The sequence below is a fragment of the Homo sapiens genome, chromosome 16 (assembly GCF_000001405.40).
Source record: "Homo sapiens chromosome 16, GRCh38.p14 Primary Assembly".
NCBI lineage: Eukaryota > Metazoa > Chordata > Mammalia > Primates > Hominidae > Homo > Homo sapiens.
The window spans coordinates 76,939,063-76,956,754 of record NC_000016.10 but is presented as its reverse complement, the minus strand read 5'-3'; the positions used below and the strand labels follow the sequence as shown (position 1 = coordinate 76,956,754).

The window sequence follows — 17,692 nt, the reverse complement described above, 5'->3', positions numbered from 1 at the left end:
TGCTGTTAAATCACCAAAGGGACTAGTAACTGCAGAAAGAACTGCAGAAAGCTACCTCCGTCAGGCCTGAAGATCTGTGGAGGGGAAGCTGTTACTGGAGTGAGAAGGAAGCTGGAGCAGAGGGGGAGCCGCCACACCAAGTCAGGGGCTGTGGATAAAGGAATGCAGTGACTGCCAAAGTTATAATCTGGCAGGGAAGGAACAGGAATGGAGATGATCCCTTGACTTTTCCTTCTCCCACAGTTCCTGTTCCTGCTAAATCTACTTGGTAGTCGGAGGTTAAGAAAGCCTGGGAGTTATAGCCTGGAGATGTCGGCCTTGCAAGGCACGGCACAGAGCAGAAACGAAGGAGAGAAAACATGAAATTTAATCAGAACACCGTGTTTATTTATTGTCTCTTGAGAGCAGGAGAATATAAACAGGGGTGGAGAACATTTTACATGTTTCTGAGAGTACTGTATTTATAAAATGAATTAAATGCTGTTGAGTTATGACTTTGTAATTATTTATGTTATTTTTCTAAAAGCTTTATGGGGAATTGAAATCAGCAAATTAGCAACCTCGTTTTGATTTTTCTAAGGTGTTTAGATATATATATATATTTATATGTATATTTATATATATTTATATATATGTATTTGCTATTGGGCCAATGTCAAGGTTCTGAAACATGAAGCTTGGACATCATTGTTCAAAGTATGCTATGTCAAGTGGATTTCAGTTAGTTGCCAGTAATTCTAAACAGTGAAACTCTTGTGAAAGAACCTTTGGGTTCTTACTCGATTAGCTGGTGAGCCACGAACAAGGGCGGACAATAGAGAAACGGGACTTACCGAGACAGTGTGGCAGAGCAGAAAGAGTTATTTCCTGGGACCTGTGATCTGGTTTGTGGATCCTGACTTTGTCAATTGCAATGTGAACTGAGGAAATTATTTAAATTCTGAGTCACAGCTGAGTCATCTATGAAATGATAATAAAATCATAATCCTCTTAATATTAGAGAATACAAATGAAAGTAAACACATTACAAAGTGTCTAGCTTAGCACCTGCAATATGCAGGCTCTGAATCATTGCATCTCTTTTTCTCCAGCTTTTTCTCCACTTCTATTCACATTTTCTGAGCTGTCTCAAAAACTTTTGGGAACTAGCAGGGGTGTCTGTTTCTGGAAATGAGATGAGGTATAATATAAGCAACACATATTTTCTATTTCAATGCACTGTTCTCCGGAGTAGAATGGGGGGGAAAAAAGAATGGCTGAAAGTACACAGCCTGCCTCATATAAGAAGATATTCAGGGCAAGAGGACATACCGCCTTATTATTTCCCATTCCCATGGCATGACTGGCAACCAGAGACTCAGAATTAATAATAAAGAAATAACTCTTAGGTGAGAAAGCTTCGGAATGCATTATAAAGGAGACGTGGTCAATTTTTCATGCAGACAGACGTATAATGTTCCCTTGCTAGCAGTTACATTTAAAGCTGGCATGAAGTGAACGAGAACATAAAATTTTGATATCAGATTACAAAGGACTGTAGTGGTGACTTCATTCCCTTTTTTTTCTTTTCTTTTTTTTTTTTTTTTGAGACAACATTCCTAGGTGCTAAGATGGGAGAGAGAGAAAGAGGGAGAGAGTTTGCTACCATAGGTATTGGCATTTAGTTCATGGTAGACTTGGCAAGTTTTGCTAGATTGGTCAACTTTGTTTGTCTCCCAGGACTTTCTCCAAATTTTGCAGGACCTTATGGATTATAAGCATCATACAGATATTCCTGTGATACTGCAACTTGTAGTACTGTAATAGAATTCCAGAGTGGAAATAATTTTAAATCTAAGTATACCAAATAGAAAGTTAAATAAATTCATCCAGTTTAACTTTCTAGCCCAGTATCTATCATCACACTTACCCAAATGCATTATATTGAAAAGTATTTTTAAATTTTTATTCTGGTATTCGGTCTACATTTATTGAGAATTTTCAACTCACAATAAACTGCATTGTCAGTTCTGAGTTAAAAAAAAAAAAAAAAGGTAAGGTAAGGTTATTTCTTCCAGAATGTTTCGATGTAGTAATATATTTAAATATATCCAAACTATGCATCTAACATACATCTTCTACTGTAAAACTGAAATATTAAAATGTATATTTAATCTGCTTAATTTGATGAAGGAACAATTACAATACCACATTGTATGATAAATTATCTTCTTTTTTTTCTTTTTCTTTCTTTTTTTTATTATTATACTTTAAGTTTTAGGGTACATGTGCACATTGTGCAGGTTAGTTACATATGTATACATGTGCCATGCTGGTGCGCTGCACCCACTAACTCGTCATCTAGCATTAGGTATATCTCCCAATGCTATCCCTCCCCCCTCCCCCTACCCCACAACAGTCCCCAGAGTGTGATGTTCCCCTTCCTGTGTCCATGTGATCTCATTGTTCAATTCCCACCTGTGAGTGAGAATATGCAGTGTTTGGTTTTTTGTTCTTGCGATAGTTTACTGAGAATGATGATTTCCAATTTCATCCACGTCCCTACAAAGGACATGAACTCATCATTTTTTATGGCTGCATAGTATTCCGTGGTGTATATGTGCCACATTTTCTTAATCCAGTCTATCATTCTTGGACATTTGGGTTGATTCCAAGTCTTTGCTATTGTGAATAGTGCCACAATAAACATACGTGTGCATGTGTCTTTATAGTAGCATGATTTATAGTCCTTTGGGTATATACCCAGTAATGGGATGGCTGGGTCAAATGGTATTTCTAGTTCTAGATCCCTGAGGAATCGCCACACTGACTTCCACAATGGTTGAACTAGTTTACAGTCCCACCAACAGTGTAAAAGTGTTCCTGTTTCTCCACATCCTCTCCAGCACCTGTTGTTTCCTGACTTTTGAATGATTGCCATTCTAACTGGTGTGAGATGGTATCTCATTGTGGTTTTGATTTGCATTTCTCTGATGGCCAGTGATGATGAGCATTTTTTCATGTGTTTTTTGGCTGCATAAATGTCTTCTTTTGAGAAGTGTCTGTTCATGTCCTTTGCCCACTTTTTGATGGGGTTGTTTGTTTTTCTTCTTGTAAATTGGTTTGAGTTCATTGTAGATTCTGAATATTAGCCCTTTGTCAGATGAGTAGGTTGTGAAAATTTTCTCCCATTTTGTAGGTTGCCTGTTCACTCTGATGGTAGTTTCTTTTGCTGTACAGAAGCTCTTTAGTTTAATTAGATCCCATTTGTCAATTTTGTCTTTTGTTGCCATTGCTTTTGGTGTTTTAGACATGACGTCCTTGCCCATGCCTATGTCCTGAATGGTATTGCCTAGGTTTTCTTCTAGGTTTTTTATGGTTTTAGGTCTAACGTTTAAGTCTTTAATCCATCTTGAATTGATTTTTGTACAAAGTGTAAGGAAGGGATCCAGTTTCAGCTTTCTACATATGGCTAGCCAGTTTTATACACCAACAACAGACAAACAGAGAGCCAAATCATGAGTGAACTCCCATTCACAATTGCTTCAAAGAGAATAAAATACCTAGGAATCCAACTTACAAGAGATGTGAAGGACCTCTTCAAGGAGAACTACAAACCACTGCTCAAGGAAATAAAAGAGGATACAAACAAATGGAAGAACATTCCACGCTCATGGGTAGGAAGAATCAATATCGTGAAAATGGCCATACTGCCCAAGGTAATTTACAGATTCAATGCCATCCCCATCAAGCTACCAATGCCTTTCTTCACAGAATTGGAAAAAACTACTTTAAAGTTCATATGGAACCAAAAAAGAGCCCGCATCGCCAAGTCAATCCTAAGCCAAAAGAACAAAGCTGGAGGCATCACACTACCTGACTTCAAACTATACTACAAGGCTACAGTAACCAAAACAGCATGGTACTGGTACCAAAACAGAGATATAGATCAATGGAACCGAACAGAGCCCTCAGAAATAACGCCGCATATCTACAACTATCTGATCTTTGACAAACCTGAGAAACACAAGCAATGGGGAAAGGATTCCCTATTTAATAAATGGTGCTGGAAAATTATCTTCTTTTGTAATTTCTTACGTAGGAAAAATGCACTGAGCTTTAAGAGTTGGTGTATGTAGATTACTATACACTGTTCAATAGACTAATGGCATTTCTCATGAAAGATACTTATTTGAACATTTCTTCTGACTGGTAGGAATTCAACTTAACTCTTTTGAATAATTTATTTAGAACATAGAAAATTCTGTTGTAGATCATTGCTCTTTTCAGTGCAAACCTTTAATATTGTTATTAATAAAGCATGAGTTACAAATAAAATTAAGTATGTTAACTGGGAAACGAGTACACAGCCTAGAACATTTTTTATGTTCATTTTTTTCTTGGACAGGGTGCAGCTTTTACTTAGCCTGTTCACTGGTAATACAGAGCAGGTAGTAGTGTCTGATACACTGCTGAAGTGCTAGTTCAGCAAAAGCTAAACCCAGAACTTTCACGTGTGTATATTAAAAACATGATCACATTTGGTTTGTAATTCCATATTGGAAATAATCTACCCTTAGAACTCTCAAGTAATTTTTCCAGTATCTTTTCTTTTTGGTGTTTGAGAAGCCTGATGCCATGTTGATTTTCAATCTTTTCAAAGATTGAAGTCATGTCCCTCTGGACACTTGGAAATATTCTTGTTTGATTGCCTGCCTGATGTGGTTTATGCCTTGTGCTGGGTTTTGATGAGCCTTCTCAATTTGGAAATTCATGTCAGTTTTGTGGAAATTTGTTGAATGATTTTTTGAAAATTTCTTCCATTTAATTTTTCCATTTTTTATTTGTGGAAATATTACTTGAATTTGGATCTCCTGGATAGATTTTTAAATTTCCTTGTCTTTTCTATTTTCTATTTCTTTGGTATTGTTATTGTTGTTTTACTATCTTAATGGAAAGTTCCTTTGGTTTATCTTTCAAACTTCTTTTTGCGTTATTTCTATTATCATATTATAATTTCCAAGAGGTATTTAGTGATTTACGTATTTTTTAAATATATTCTCCTGTTCTTGTTTCATCAATAAAATATCCCCTCCAATAGCTTTGAGGATATCAATGACATTGTTTTTTCTACTTTTCTTCTCGAAGCACCAATTTTTTTCTTGTTTCGGTTTTGTCTCTGTTGTTATGATAGAAGCTTTATCTGAATGTCCACTGGTATTGCCTATCTACTCACACTTACGAGAAAGTTACTTAAAAACATTTGGAAGCTCGGGAGTGGGGATAACATGAGCATTGTTCCCTAGTGGCCATTGTTCCCTAGTGGCCCTCGTTTTATGGTAAACCAACAGAGATACTTCACAAGGGACTCCCAGCTGTCTGCATCTTGACTTGGTGTAACTTCCAGTGGTGTTACTAGGGCTTTCCCCACCTTAGCTTTACATGATTCTAAAGTACAAACCAGTCTTCTGAGTTCAGTGGCTTAAAACAATAACAATGTGTTATTTCTCACAATTATTTGAGCAGGCTGTGTGTATGTGTCCTTCTGCTGGTTTTGCACATACGCCTGTAAGATTGCCTAGGGAGGGGCTTCACTAGAACAGTTGAGCTGGACTTTGTCCCTCCATCTCTGTGTGGACTTCTATAACCCCAGGGATGAAACTGGTCTTCCTCACATGGTAACAGCCTCATTCCAACATGGCCCCAGTACCCCAGTATTTATTGAGCTTCTGTTTACCTTAAATTTGCTGATGTCCCATTGGCCACACAAGGCACATGACCATGCCCAGAGGTAAATGAGAAGGTAAATGGCAGTCATGAAAGTAACCATTTAGGCTCAGTGATTGCACCAATTTAAACTCCCACCAGCAGCATAAGAGTGTTCTTGTTCCATAGCCTCCCGCATCTTTTCTATTTGCCATTTTTAGTGCTTTCACCATTTTTATTGAGTCTGGTGTGAATGCACTCTTTTCTCCTTGTGATTTTTTATTTTGATGCCAGTGAATAATATGAAATGCCTCTTTACATACTCGTATTGTTTCCTATTGCTGTTGTAACAAATCACCAAAATTTAGTGTCTTCGAAGAGCAGACATTTATTATCTGATAGTCCTGTAGGTCACAGGTCCTAAAAATCAAGGTGCCAACAAGACTGCATTCTTTCTGGAGGCTCCAGAGGAGCCTTTTCTATCTTCTAGGGGCTGTCTGCATTCATTGGCTCTTGGCTGCTTCCCTTGTGTTCAAAGTCAGCAGCATAGCATCTTCCTTCCTCTCTTTCTTCCTCTTCCTTCCTTTTCTTTCCTTTTTCTTTCTGATCTCTGCTTCTGTCATCATATCATCTTCTCTGATTCTGACTCTCCTTCTTCTATCTCTTAAGCTTCTTTGTGATTATTGGACCCAATCAGATTATTCAGGATAATCTCCCTACCTTAAGACCCTTAACTTAGCCGGGCCTGTAAAGTCTCTTTACTAGGTAAGGTCACATATGCACAGGTGATGGGAATTAGGATATAGTTGTCTTTGGGGAGGCAGGTGGAATTATTCAGCCTACCATGATACCTTTTTTGGCCTATTTTGATATCCTCTTTTATAAATAATGTTTGCCTTTGTCCATTTAAATTAATGAAAATAAGTTTGACCTATGTGTTTATAAAACATTTACATTTGTTAATCATGGCTTCCGTGGAAACCAGAAATTTAATGTCAATTTTGTCTATATAGTAACGTAACCTATGATAATTTGGTGAAAGGAAAAATCCAATGACAAAATGAATCACTTTTAAAGTCTTTATGGAATCAAACTTTAAAACAATGGCCAGCATTTTCTCTATGGCTTCCTACTTAAAATAGCCTGAAAGGGTAGCCAGTAGAATTGCAGGTTCCTCTCATTCATCAGTGCATGCAATTTCTTTTCCCCAGCAGAAATAACATAAGAACTTAAAGAGTAGGAATGGAGTGACCTGGATCTGTTGTGGTCTTTCTTCCAGGAGAAAAGGATTAATGATTGTTTGTTGACTGAATTAATGAATGGTTAAAAATACTGGTGTTTATTTTCTGCTTCACCACATTGATTTCCTGTGTGTCTTGCTTTAAATATTTATCTGCCTCTTCCTCTCTTCAAGGTAAATATTCTTCTTTAGTTTTTAATTATGTCTTATCAGTTCATACCTATGCTAATCTTTATCTCTCAATTCCTATCACATATCTTTCAATTGTGTATAAACTGTTTTTTTAGGGGCTCAAATATTCGTTCTTGAAACACTTTAAGTTCCTTGAAAATAAAATTTCTCACTTTAATGCATCTTGTAACCTGCATCTTTAACATTTTGATATGGTTTGTATCTGTGTCCCCACCAAATCTCATGTTGAATTGTCATCTTCAGTGTTGGAGGTGGGGCCTGGCTGGAGGTGACTGGGTCATGGAGGCTGATTTCTCATGAATGGTTTAGTACTGTTTAGCACCATCCCTCTTGATACTGTCCTTGTGATAGTGAATGAGTTCCTGTGAGATCAGGTCATTTAAAAGTGTATGGCACCCACGCCCCTGCTGTCTCTCTCTCCTGTCCCTGCTGTGGTCATGTCACATGTCTGCTCCCCTTTTGCCTTCCACCATAATTGTCAGTTTCTAGAGGCCTCCCCAGAAGCTGAACAGATACCAGCATCATGCTTCCTTTACAGCCTGCGGACCTGCAGAACCGTGAGCCAATTAAACCTCTTTTTCTTTCTTTCTTTTTTTTTTTTTTTTTTTTTGAGACAAAGTCTCGTTCTGTCACTCCGGCTGGATTGCAATGGCATGATCTCAGCTCACTGCAACCTCCCACTCCCGGGTTCAAGTGATTCTCCTGCCTCAGCCTCCCAAGTAACTGGGATTACAGGCGTGTACCACCACGCCCAGCTGATTTTTGTATTTTTTGTAGCGATGGGGTTTCACCATGTTGGCCAGGCTGGTCTTGATCTCCTGACCTCGTGATCCACATGCCTTGGCCTCCCAAAGTGCCAGGATTACAGGCGTGAGCCACCACACCCAGCCCTCTTTTCTTTATAAATTACCCAGTCTCAGGTATTTCTTTATAGCAATGCAAGAATGAATTAACACATATTTCTTGGCATTTTCTTAGGAAGTCAGCATTTGTCTACCTATCTGTCTGTCTGTCTGTCTATCTATCTATCTATCTATCATGTATTCATTCTTCCCTCTTTCTCTCCTTTTAGGTGTGATATGTTTTTGCTGTTAGTATTCAAGTTTCAATTTAATTTTGTAATTAACAAAAGTCACCAAATTCATTACAGAGCCATTCATTTGCAATAATTTATTTGAAATATTGTATGATAATTTTAGTGATGAACTGATTCAGAGGAAAATGGCTTGGTGTTGTACTCTCTCGACATACACTCTCCTATAGAAGGGCATCAACTAGTCTGGGCAGAATGCCCTAATTGTTGCTAGTTCATAATTTGCATTAATGTATAAAAATCCTCTAGTGATCATATTTGTATCAAGCTGCTTGGGATTTGCAGAAAACTATGAGACAGAGAAGGAAGCAATGACAGATGGGTAGAGAGTCTCAGTTATTGGAAAGAAACATCTTTTCTCATGAATGTCATTTTCTATTTAATTTCATGTTGTCATTCAAAGACCCTAATGCATCAGTTGAAAGAAACGCCTTGTAGGAAATGACATTGGGGAGAGAGCCAACACTACACACAACCCGAGGCTGCAAATGCTGGTCTGTTTGGCAGCTGCAAGGAGAGCAACTGTTTGGCAACAAATTACTTGGTAGAAAGCCCCTAGAATCAGCAAAGGATTAAAAATAGAAAGAGGGGATGGGTTTCTGTGGCTTTGGAAAGAGAATTCAGCTCCTCTGGCTGCAGGGATAAATCTGCAATGCCAGAACATTTCTTAGAGTTTATATGCTGCAGTGTTAGATGACAACCAGGCATGGCCCCAGTAAAAGACATAGTTAATTCTGTTCTAAATCACTCTGCCCGTCACGCTCCATGACCTTGCATATTACTTAATTAAACTATATCTGAATTGGCTCATAGCATTATAATGCTATTTCTCCCTCATAGGACACATTTCAAGGCTATTTAACTATAAGATGTGGGACTGATCATCTTGACTTGACTTTTCCATAAAGCAGGATCCTCAGTCTACGGTTCATTTTTTTTTTTTTAATTGGTTGGTTTCCTATATTCTTGGCATATATTTGTATTTATTTTTCAGAATATTCTCTCCTGTGACTAGAAATGCATTTCTCTATTACAAAGCCAAGAGCATTATTTTCTTTACCTTGTTCTTCTGAGAGTGCAGTTGGTAATTGCCAATGAATCACAGATCCATGCTTCTCAAAATTTAATTTGCAGATCAATCACCTGGGATCTTGTTAAAAGACAGATTATGATTCAGTAAGTATGGCGTGAGTCTCTCTCATTGTTTTCAGTTTTTTAAAAATGCAAACTAGTGTCACCAACCCCTCAATTTCCCACCCTTTGTCTCCATGTGGTGGTCTCCCAGGATCCACAGATACTAATTCAGGTGGCTGAGACTATGGTGGCGATTCCTCTTGCATTTTGGTTTCCTTGCATCTGGTGACCAACTGGATTAGATTTGGTTGAGGTGGAGAGCATGCTAGATAACTGAGCCAAATTCAAAGCATACTGTCAACAAACTGAAGGTGATTCATAGCAGCCCTGGCATATGACTCAGCAGAAGTCGTTTTACAACATCATCCTCTTCCTGTCATCAGAATCAGTGCCTGTTTCTCTTATCTCTGTCCCCCCACGCTTGCTGCAGCAGAAAACAGGACTTGTGCACTTATTTCCAAATTGAATTTCTTGTGGATTAAACTGTATTGTTAAATGAGACAAAATTTGGTAATATCATGAAATTATTTTATAGTCCACATAAGGTGATTAATAGTGCTTTCTTATAGTGTTTGTATTATAAATTCATAGACCAAAACTCTGTCTCTTTCCTGATCAGCTAAGGTTTGATAATTGCATGCAGAATTTCAAGAAATTTACTACATGGGTATAATTAACACTATTTTTTTCCATGGGAAATAACTGAATTTTATGTGTTGTTAAAAGTTTTGTAGAGGTAAACTAATTCAATATTCAATATGCTACGATATAGTATGAAAACACAAATCCTGAATAAAGTAGGTTTCTATAACTGTTTTCCCTTAAAAATTGTATCAAAATTGGTAAAAGGGACTATTTATTATTCCTGATCCAGACAACTGAGCTTGTTAGGACAGTTGTTCTTTTCCCACTATGTAGTTTGGGAGTCAAAATGTGCATGTTTCTTTGCTCCTTGTCTAAGATATTAGATATTAGGGGTATCACTCAGCAATACCAACTTTAGGTATTTTCAACTGAAAGGTATTTACTTAGGGAATTTTATGTTAACAATTGTCGGAACGACTGTGGAAGCCATCAGAGACTGAAGCTTGTTTTCAGGCTTATCGCTACAGTTCTGGTCCAGAGAGTCAGGAAGGTTTTGGTGCTGCCCAGGTAGGGAAACCATAGGAAGTCCCTGCTAATGGTCACTGAAGTGAATCAGTAACAACCTGTAGGGGACAAAACCGCTTATCTGCTACAGCTAGCCTTTACTCAACAGAACCAAAGGAAGAATTATTTTACGGCACCTGTCATCAGCATTTTCAAAATCTCTTGGGAATGAATCCCACTGGCAAAAAGCAAATTGAATCCTCAACCTTTGGAGTTAAGGGAATCTGAGAAACCTAACACTCGGGTGACACTAGGGAGAGCCAAATTATGGATTCAAATAAACACAGTTGTCAAAACAATATCCATTACACAGAGAATGAGGGGTTTACTACTTGTGGGGCTTAAGGTGGTAAGATATTTTGTGTGATGTTTCATGGAATCTATGGAAATGTAACCAAGGCTATCAGCTCTATGAGCACCCTTTTCTGAGCATCCAAGCTAACCTTCACTGAAATAACTAAACTTTATAGTTTTCCCTGTATTAGTGAGTGTATTTATAAATTATGTTTATAGTCTCTAGTAGTTAAGGGAAACTCTTGCTTCTCATGGTGACCTATATAGTGCAGAACAATTTTCGAGAGTTCCAGGTTCAGGGGCTTTTCTTCCTGATGTGACAAGGTCTGCTGGTAAATGGTATTCACTCAGCTTTACAGGCTCAGAGGAAATGCTGCAAGTAAATCTGTCCTCCAGGCCAGAAGCACTGTTCCTATAGTGCCTGGCTTATCTGGTGGCCAGGCTTCTGAGAGATTATGCCTCATGTGAATATTTACCAGTTTTCTCCTCACCAGATCACAGGTTCATGATATTTTTCTTGTGGATTTGCTAAAACAAAACTAATAATCACAACCACCAGTAACGAACATGAGAGATAATATAATTTTTTAGTCAAAAGCCTATCTAGGCCAGGTCCAGTGACTCCCACCTGTAATACCAACACTTTGGGAGACCAAGGCGGGTGGATCACTTGAGCTCAGAAGCTGTGCAACATGGCAAAACCCCATCTCTATAAAAAAAATACAAAAATTATCTGGGTGCGGTGGTGTCCACCACCTACAGTCCCAGCTACTCAGGAGGCCAAGTAGGAGGATTGCTTGAGTCTGGGAGGCAGAGGTTGCAGTGAGCCAAGATCACACCACTGCACTCCAGCACTTGTCTCAGAAAAACAAAACAAAACAAAAGGCTATCTAATACAGTGGGGATAGTAAACATGTTAGTAGAGACAGGGTATAGTTTATGTTGACTTGATATTATTATTGTCCTATAACTTGATACTTTTCCTTCCTTCCTCTCTTCTTCCCTCTCGCCATCCCTCCCCTACTTCCTTCCTTTTTTTCTCATTTCTTGCATATTCAACAATGGGTCAAACACAAGACCCCATTTCCTTACCCAGTCCAACTGCTATCAGGAAAAGGAGTTTTAGAGGTTGGTGCCTGCCTGCTGGTGGGAAGTGTAGAGGTTTATAATTCCTGAACGCAATGATCCTTTATTTTTTTTTGTTTGTATCATTTCAATCTTTTCTGTTGTCCTGGAGGCTTTAATTATCCTATATAACTTTTCTCTATTGTTTGCAGTGAACAGGCAGTCAAATATTGACTATATTTCAGGCAGCAGGGAATTCTGGGAGTACCTGCGGTCTTTTGCCACTGTGACATCCTATGAGGGCTCTTGAAGTAGAGAAGTAAGAATGTACAACTTTCATGGGTACAAGACTTCTATGTTTTTATATATTGCTGAGATTTCTTTCCCCCAGTGTATTTTTTATCTTAAGAGCTAGGGGCATTATTCTTGTTAAGAAGATAGGGCGGAGGTGACATCCTGGGCATATGAAATGGCAGATGCTAGGTTTTCTTTCTATATTATCTATATGCACATGGGTTTCAAGTGTTTCTGCAGACCTTGTGAGAAATACAGCTTGTTGGGTATTTCATTTCTGCACCTGAAGTAAGTTCTTGTTAACCATCAATACTTGAAATACTGCTTTCATTTAAAAAGGAACTAAAATCTACTGTTGTAACTCTTTTCATTGAAAGAACCATCAGAGATTCTAGCGTGCATGGTCACATGAAAGCATCTCATTGAAAGGCTTGGCTCAGTGAGGAGCAAGAATTTGTTATATTTGCCTCCTCATTTCCTCCTTACAAAATTTATGAATAGCTTATGAATGGACACCATGGGCAACAGATGCACATTACAGAGATGACTTTTAAAAACTGTAATTATCTTTTGGCTTCTGGCCAAAGACAAAATGCCGCAAAACTGCTTAAAGGTACATGCTAATTTTTCATTGCTGAACTCCAAATGGCTTTGCTTTTTGTGCACTTTTCTAAGTGTATTTGTGAAATTGAAAGAGGAGAGAGAGAAAGGAAGAGGAGGAGGAAGAGGCAGAGGGGGAGAAGGAAGAAAGGAAAGTGAAGGGAAGGAGAGAAGGAAAGTGAAGGGAAGGAAAGAAGAAAGGTAAGTGAAGGGAAGAAGAAAGGGAAGGAAGGAAGGAAAGAAAGTCTTGCATTCAGGATACCAATAATAATAATAATAATAATCATTCAGTAAACAATGAACTTGCTAGAGAGAACATGAAGTAATTCTTGTATTACTCATGCTCTCAGACCCCATCCTAAGGGTGAACTCAATAAGCTCTTCAGGGTTACTTGGAAGAAGTTCAAAACCAAAACAGGGTTGAAAATATACCTTCAACCCAGATTCCAAACAAGGAATTGGAAAAGAACTGTTACCAAAAATTCAGATATATGAATTCGAGAAATAGAATTCAATCACAGTAACACTTTGGGCTGTATAGCATCTCTTATAATGAAGTGCTTTTATTTATCCACGATCTCATCAAATTCTCAAAATGATACTGTGAAGGAGGAAGATGTAGGAGAGACTGCGATTCCCATTGTAGCAGGAAGAATTCTAAGATGACCCACAGTGATCCAACTCTGTCATAAACCATCCTTTCAATTCCGAGGGGGATCTATAGATATGATAGGATATCACTTCATGATTAGGTTATGTCATTTGGTACAGCTGACTCTAAGAAAGATTGTCCTCCATGTGCCTGACCTATTCCCGTGAAACCTTAAAAGAGATTGGGCTTTTCCTGGCGAGAGTCAAAGCAAGGGAGGGACTCAACACAAAGGAAATTCTCCCTTGTTGGCTTGAAGCTAGAGGGGGAACAGGACAAAGAATGAGGCAGCTTCTAGAAGCTGAGGGTGGGACTGGCCAGCAAGCAAGCTTTTCAGTTTAATTTGCACTACTCGTATTTTCTCCATTAAGAGTTAGAAAACATTTCTTATAAAGAGCCTGGTAGTAAATATTTCAGTCATTGCAGCTACTTATGAAGGCCGGCTGGACTTCCTTCCTTCCTTCCCTCTCTCCTTCTTACTTTTTCTTTCCCTCCCTTTCTTCTCTCTCTACTCCCCCTTGTAGCAATGCTTTAAAATGTAAAAATAAAATAATTATTTGTTCAAGTATTAAACCAAAATAAGTTGTATCTGGTTTGCCAGCTCTGGGTTGAAAAATTAACAGAACAATACATCACAGTGTTTGCTGATTTCTACCATAACTGATCTGAAGCTACCAACATAAAATTTCTTCACTGACACAAAGAGATGTGCGGTAGTATGCCATTATATTGTGTTTCTATATACTCACAATAGAAGTAAATAACCATACAAAAATAGCAGTAAGATATATAATTAGGAAGCGCTGAGTTTTGAGTACCTGTTGCCCTCCTTTTTAATATAATTGTAAATTTATTTAATTTTTAATAAAGGTTGTGTTTAACAGCTCACACAATTCCTGAAAATTGAACAACCGGCCCTCATGAGCCAGTACAAGCCAGCTCTAACACAATGCTGAGTATGCCCATAAAAGATAGAAGTCCTTGTTTCACTCCCCTTTTTTCCCTTCTGTCAGCTGGAATGTGGATCCAGCAGATCCAGCAGAATGTGATGATGGGCCACCTACCCCAGACAGACTCGGCTACGTCACTGGCTATGGCACTGGCAGAACAATGAGTTCCTAACACTAGAGCTTCCATATCAGGGGCATGGGTTTCTCAAGCTCTTGTTTCAGGAATAGAGGAAATAAATTTTTGCCTTGCTCTGCTACTCTTATTTTGGGTTTCTGTCGCAGCAATTGGTCCTATAGCAATAGAGCAGATATTAGTATTAACACAGCAGATATTAGAATTCCCTTGTTTCAGTGAGGAAACTGATGACTACAGCGGTAAAATTCCTTTCCCAACATCACATGGCTGAAAGTCTCTTACTTAGTATTGTAAGCCAAAATTCTTTTTTTTTTTTTTGATTTTTTTAAATTTTTATTGAGACAGAGTCTTGCTCTGTCACCCAGGCTGGAGTGCAGTGGCTCAATCTCGGCTCACTGCAAGCTCCACCTCCCGGGTTCACACCATTCTCCTGCCTCAGCCTCCTGAATAGCTGGGACTACAGGCGCCTGCCACCACACCTGGCTAATTTTTTGTATTTTTTAGTAGAGACGGTGTTTTACCGTGTTAGCCAGGATGGTCTTGATCTCCTGACTTTGTGATCCGCCAGCCTCGGCCTCCCCAAGTGGTGGGTTTACAGGTGTGAGCCACCGCGCCTGGCCATAAGCCACAATTCTTAATTCCAAGTCCTTTGTGATTTCCATTGTATCATGTCACATATTAGGTCAATCAATGAAATATGTATTCATTCATTTATTTCATCAGTACTGACAGATGTGTTTTACATATAAATGTAAAACATTTTGTATTGTAAATGTATATCATTTACAATAAATGATGTCATTTGGAGAAGGCAACCCCTGAGGGGCAAGAGGAAAAGAGGTCCTATCTGGTCAGTCAGGGAGGAGGACAGGTTGCAGGAGTATCCTTTCATATTTGAAACTTTACTGAACAATGAACTCATTGCTGTGCTACATGCCATGGGGATTATAGAAACACAGAGGGAAAAGTAACCTGATATCCAAATGTTTGCCTATCCCACATGCATGAGCTTTTTCTCATATTAGCATGCTTCAGGATCACTTTTGACTATTACCATCTTCCAAGACCATGTGTGCCCTTAGGACCCGACTCATTCATAACCCAAAGATTGACACATAGAAATGCCTTATAATCATTTCTGAATCAAAATTTTCTAGGTTCTAATAACACAAATACATGTTAATTAAAATAATGTTATCGGTATTTTCTCATGCAATTAGTATTTCTTATTCAAACTAGCATTTCTTTTCCCAGTGAAATGGTAACAGCTAAAAACATTGTGGCATCACATTTAGTACGGATTTTCCTTGAATTAATGCTTTTTCCTTGTCGTGTGTAGGTATATATTTATACATCAAACACAATATTGATCTTTTCTCTCAAAATAACTACTTTCAGACATAAAATATGTTTTATGTTTTCTCTCTATTTTGTCTTAGTCTGGTCAGCTTAACTAAAATCCTCAATCTCAGGGGGTAGATTAATCTAATTTTCACTGTTTCTCTATATTCACACCAGCTGAAGACAAATGGTTTAGGGGGTAACATTATTAAATATTATGATTTTTATTTTATTCATTCTGTTGGGAGGGCAGGTGGCTACTTATTCCAATAACATAAATTCTGGGATATACAGCTTTCTATTTCTCCTTTTGCAGGAATTTAATTTTTTTCAAGATGCTTTATTTTGTTGACTTTCATTTATCTCTTTTCCCATGTTAAACTTGCATAGGTCACATTTCTCCTGGCCTCACTCTGTCATGGGCTACTGACTTATTCATGGAAAGTCTCAGCTTTTATAGCAACCTCCAAACCACGGCCACAGACACATTGTCTAATAGCAACACAAGCTACTTTGTTCTCCCCCAGAGGAGGGCTGGCTTCTGGAAAGGACTCTTTTTTTTTTATCACTGGATGGGAGACACAGAAGGTCCAGCAGGAAGTTTTCACCTGATAGACTCACTGAGACTGTGACTCTTCCCACCATTTCTGGGCAGCATGGAGTGCCATGCCACAGGAGTGCCCTACGGCTTCACCAGTGGGTACCTGAAAGGCTCAAGTGACCCATGTTGGAAACGGGGAGGGACTCACTCCCAGTGGGGCAAACTTTGACCATTGAAAGACAGGAGATGAGAGAGAGCTGGAGAATACATTGTCCTCTCTGTCCTCTGATACGTTGATCTGAGGTAGGGAGTTGCTGTACAGACAGCACAGAGATGCCCTGTGTGGCTGATGACTAGCTGCCTCTCAGTTATGCACCACTTTGTCTTTGCTTCCTAGTACTCCTTGCTGCTCTTCTTGCCCCCACCTTCTTTTTTCCCTGAAATTGTGTGTTAATTTTTTTGAGAAGACGCATTTCTTTAAATTAAGAAACTTTAAGCCTTAATCTGCATATTTTAAATCATCTGGGCAGAGACAACAGAGAATCACTGGGAAACAACTTCTTAGTTTTCCTTGTGAATGTGGCAGAAAGTGAAAATAAGAAACTGTATGTGAGTACATTTCAGTTCATAGCACATTGGTATTTATGAGTTGGAATTCACATGGAAGAACAGAAATAAAAATACAGTCATGTGTCACTTAGAAATAGGGGTATGTCCTGAGAAATGTGTCATTAGGTAATTTTGTCATTGTATGAACATCATAGAGTGTACTTACACAAATGTAGAGGATAGCCTACTACAAACCTAGAGTATATGGTATAGCCCTCTACTCCTAGGCTACAAACCTGTACAGCATGTTGCTGTACTGACTACTGTAGGCAATTGTAAGGCATGGTGTACTGCAATACAAGGGTATTTGAGGGTACATCAAAATACAGTGTCATAAGCTTATGAGATCCCCATCGTATATGCAGTCCACTGTTGACTGACACATTATTATGTGGTGCATGACTGTACAAGCAAGCAGCATAGGAGATGACCTGAAAATAACACTGGTTTTAAATAACAGATTAGAGGAATCCAGTTGCCACTGTACAGGTATTTACAAAGTTGGATTATGAGTACAGAGAACATATGTTGAAAAACGGGACGAAATATTGTAAAACCTAAGTTACAGAGAAGAATCAGCCACTGAAAACAGCAATAGCAGAATCTATGTTTCTGCTTATGGTACAGTTATACTGAAATCTCCTTTATGAGTTTCAGTCAACTAGAAATCACTGGTTCTTATTGCCAGTGAACACTACCCAAATGAAAACAAGCAAAGGA

At 38.5% G+C, this 17,692-nt stretch overlaps 1 annotated feature.

The window, feature by feature from the left end:
* Positions 8,960 to 10,159: an enhancer, noted in NCBI's record as "P300/CBP strongly-dependent group 1 enhancer chr16:76980493-76981692 (GRCh37/hg19 assembly coordinates)". NCBI's record gives its function as "activates an origin of replication core promoter dependent on BRD2, BRD4, P300/CBP, MED14 and CDK7 cofactors, with strong dependence on P300/CBP, by STARR-seq in HCT116 cells {active_cell/tissue: HCT116}" and the evidence as "EXISTENCE:reporter gene assay evidence [ECO:0000049][PMID:35650434]".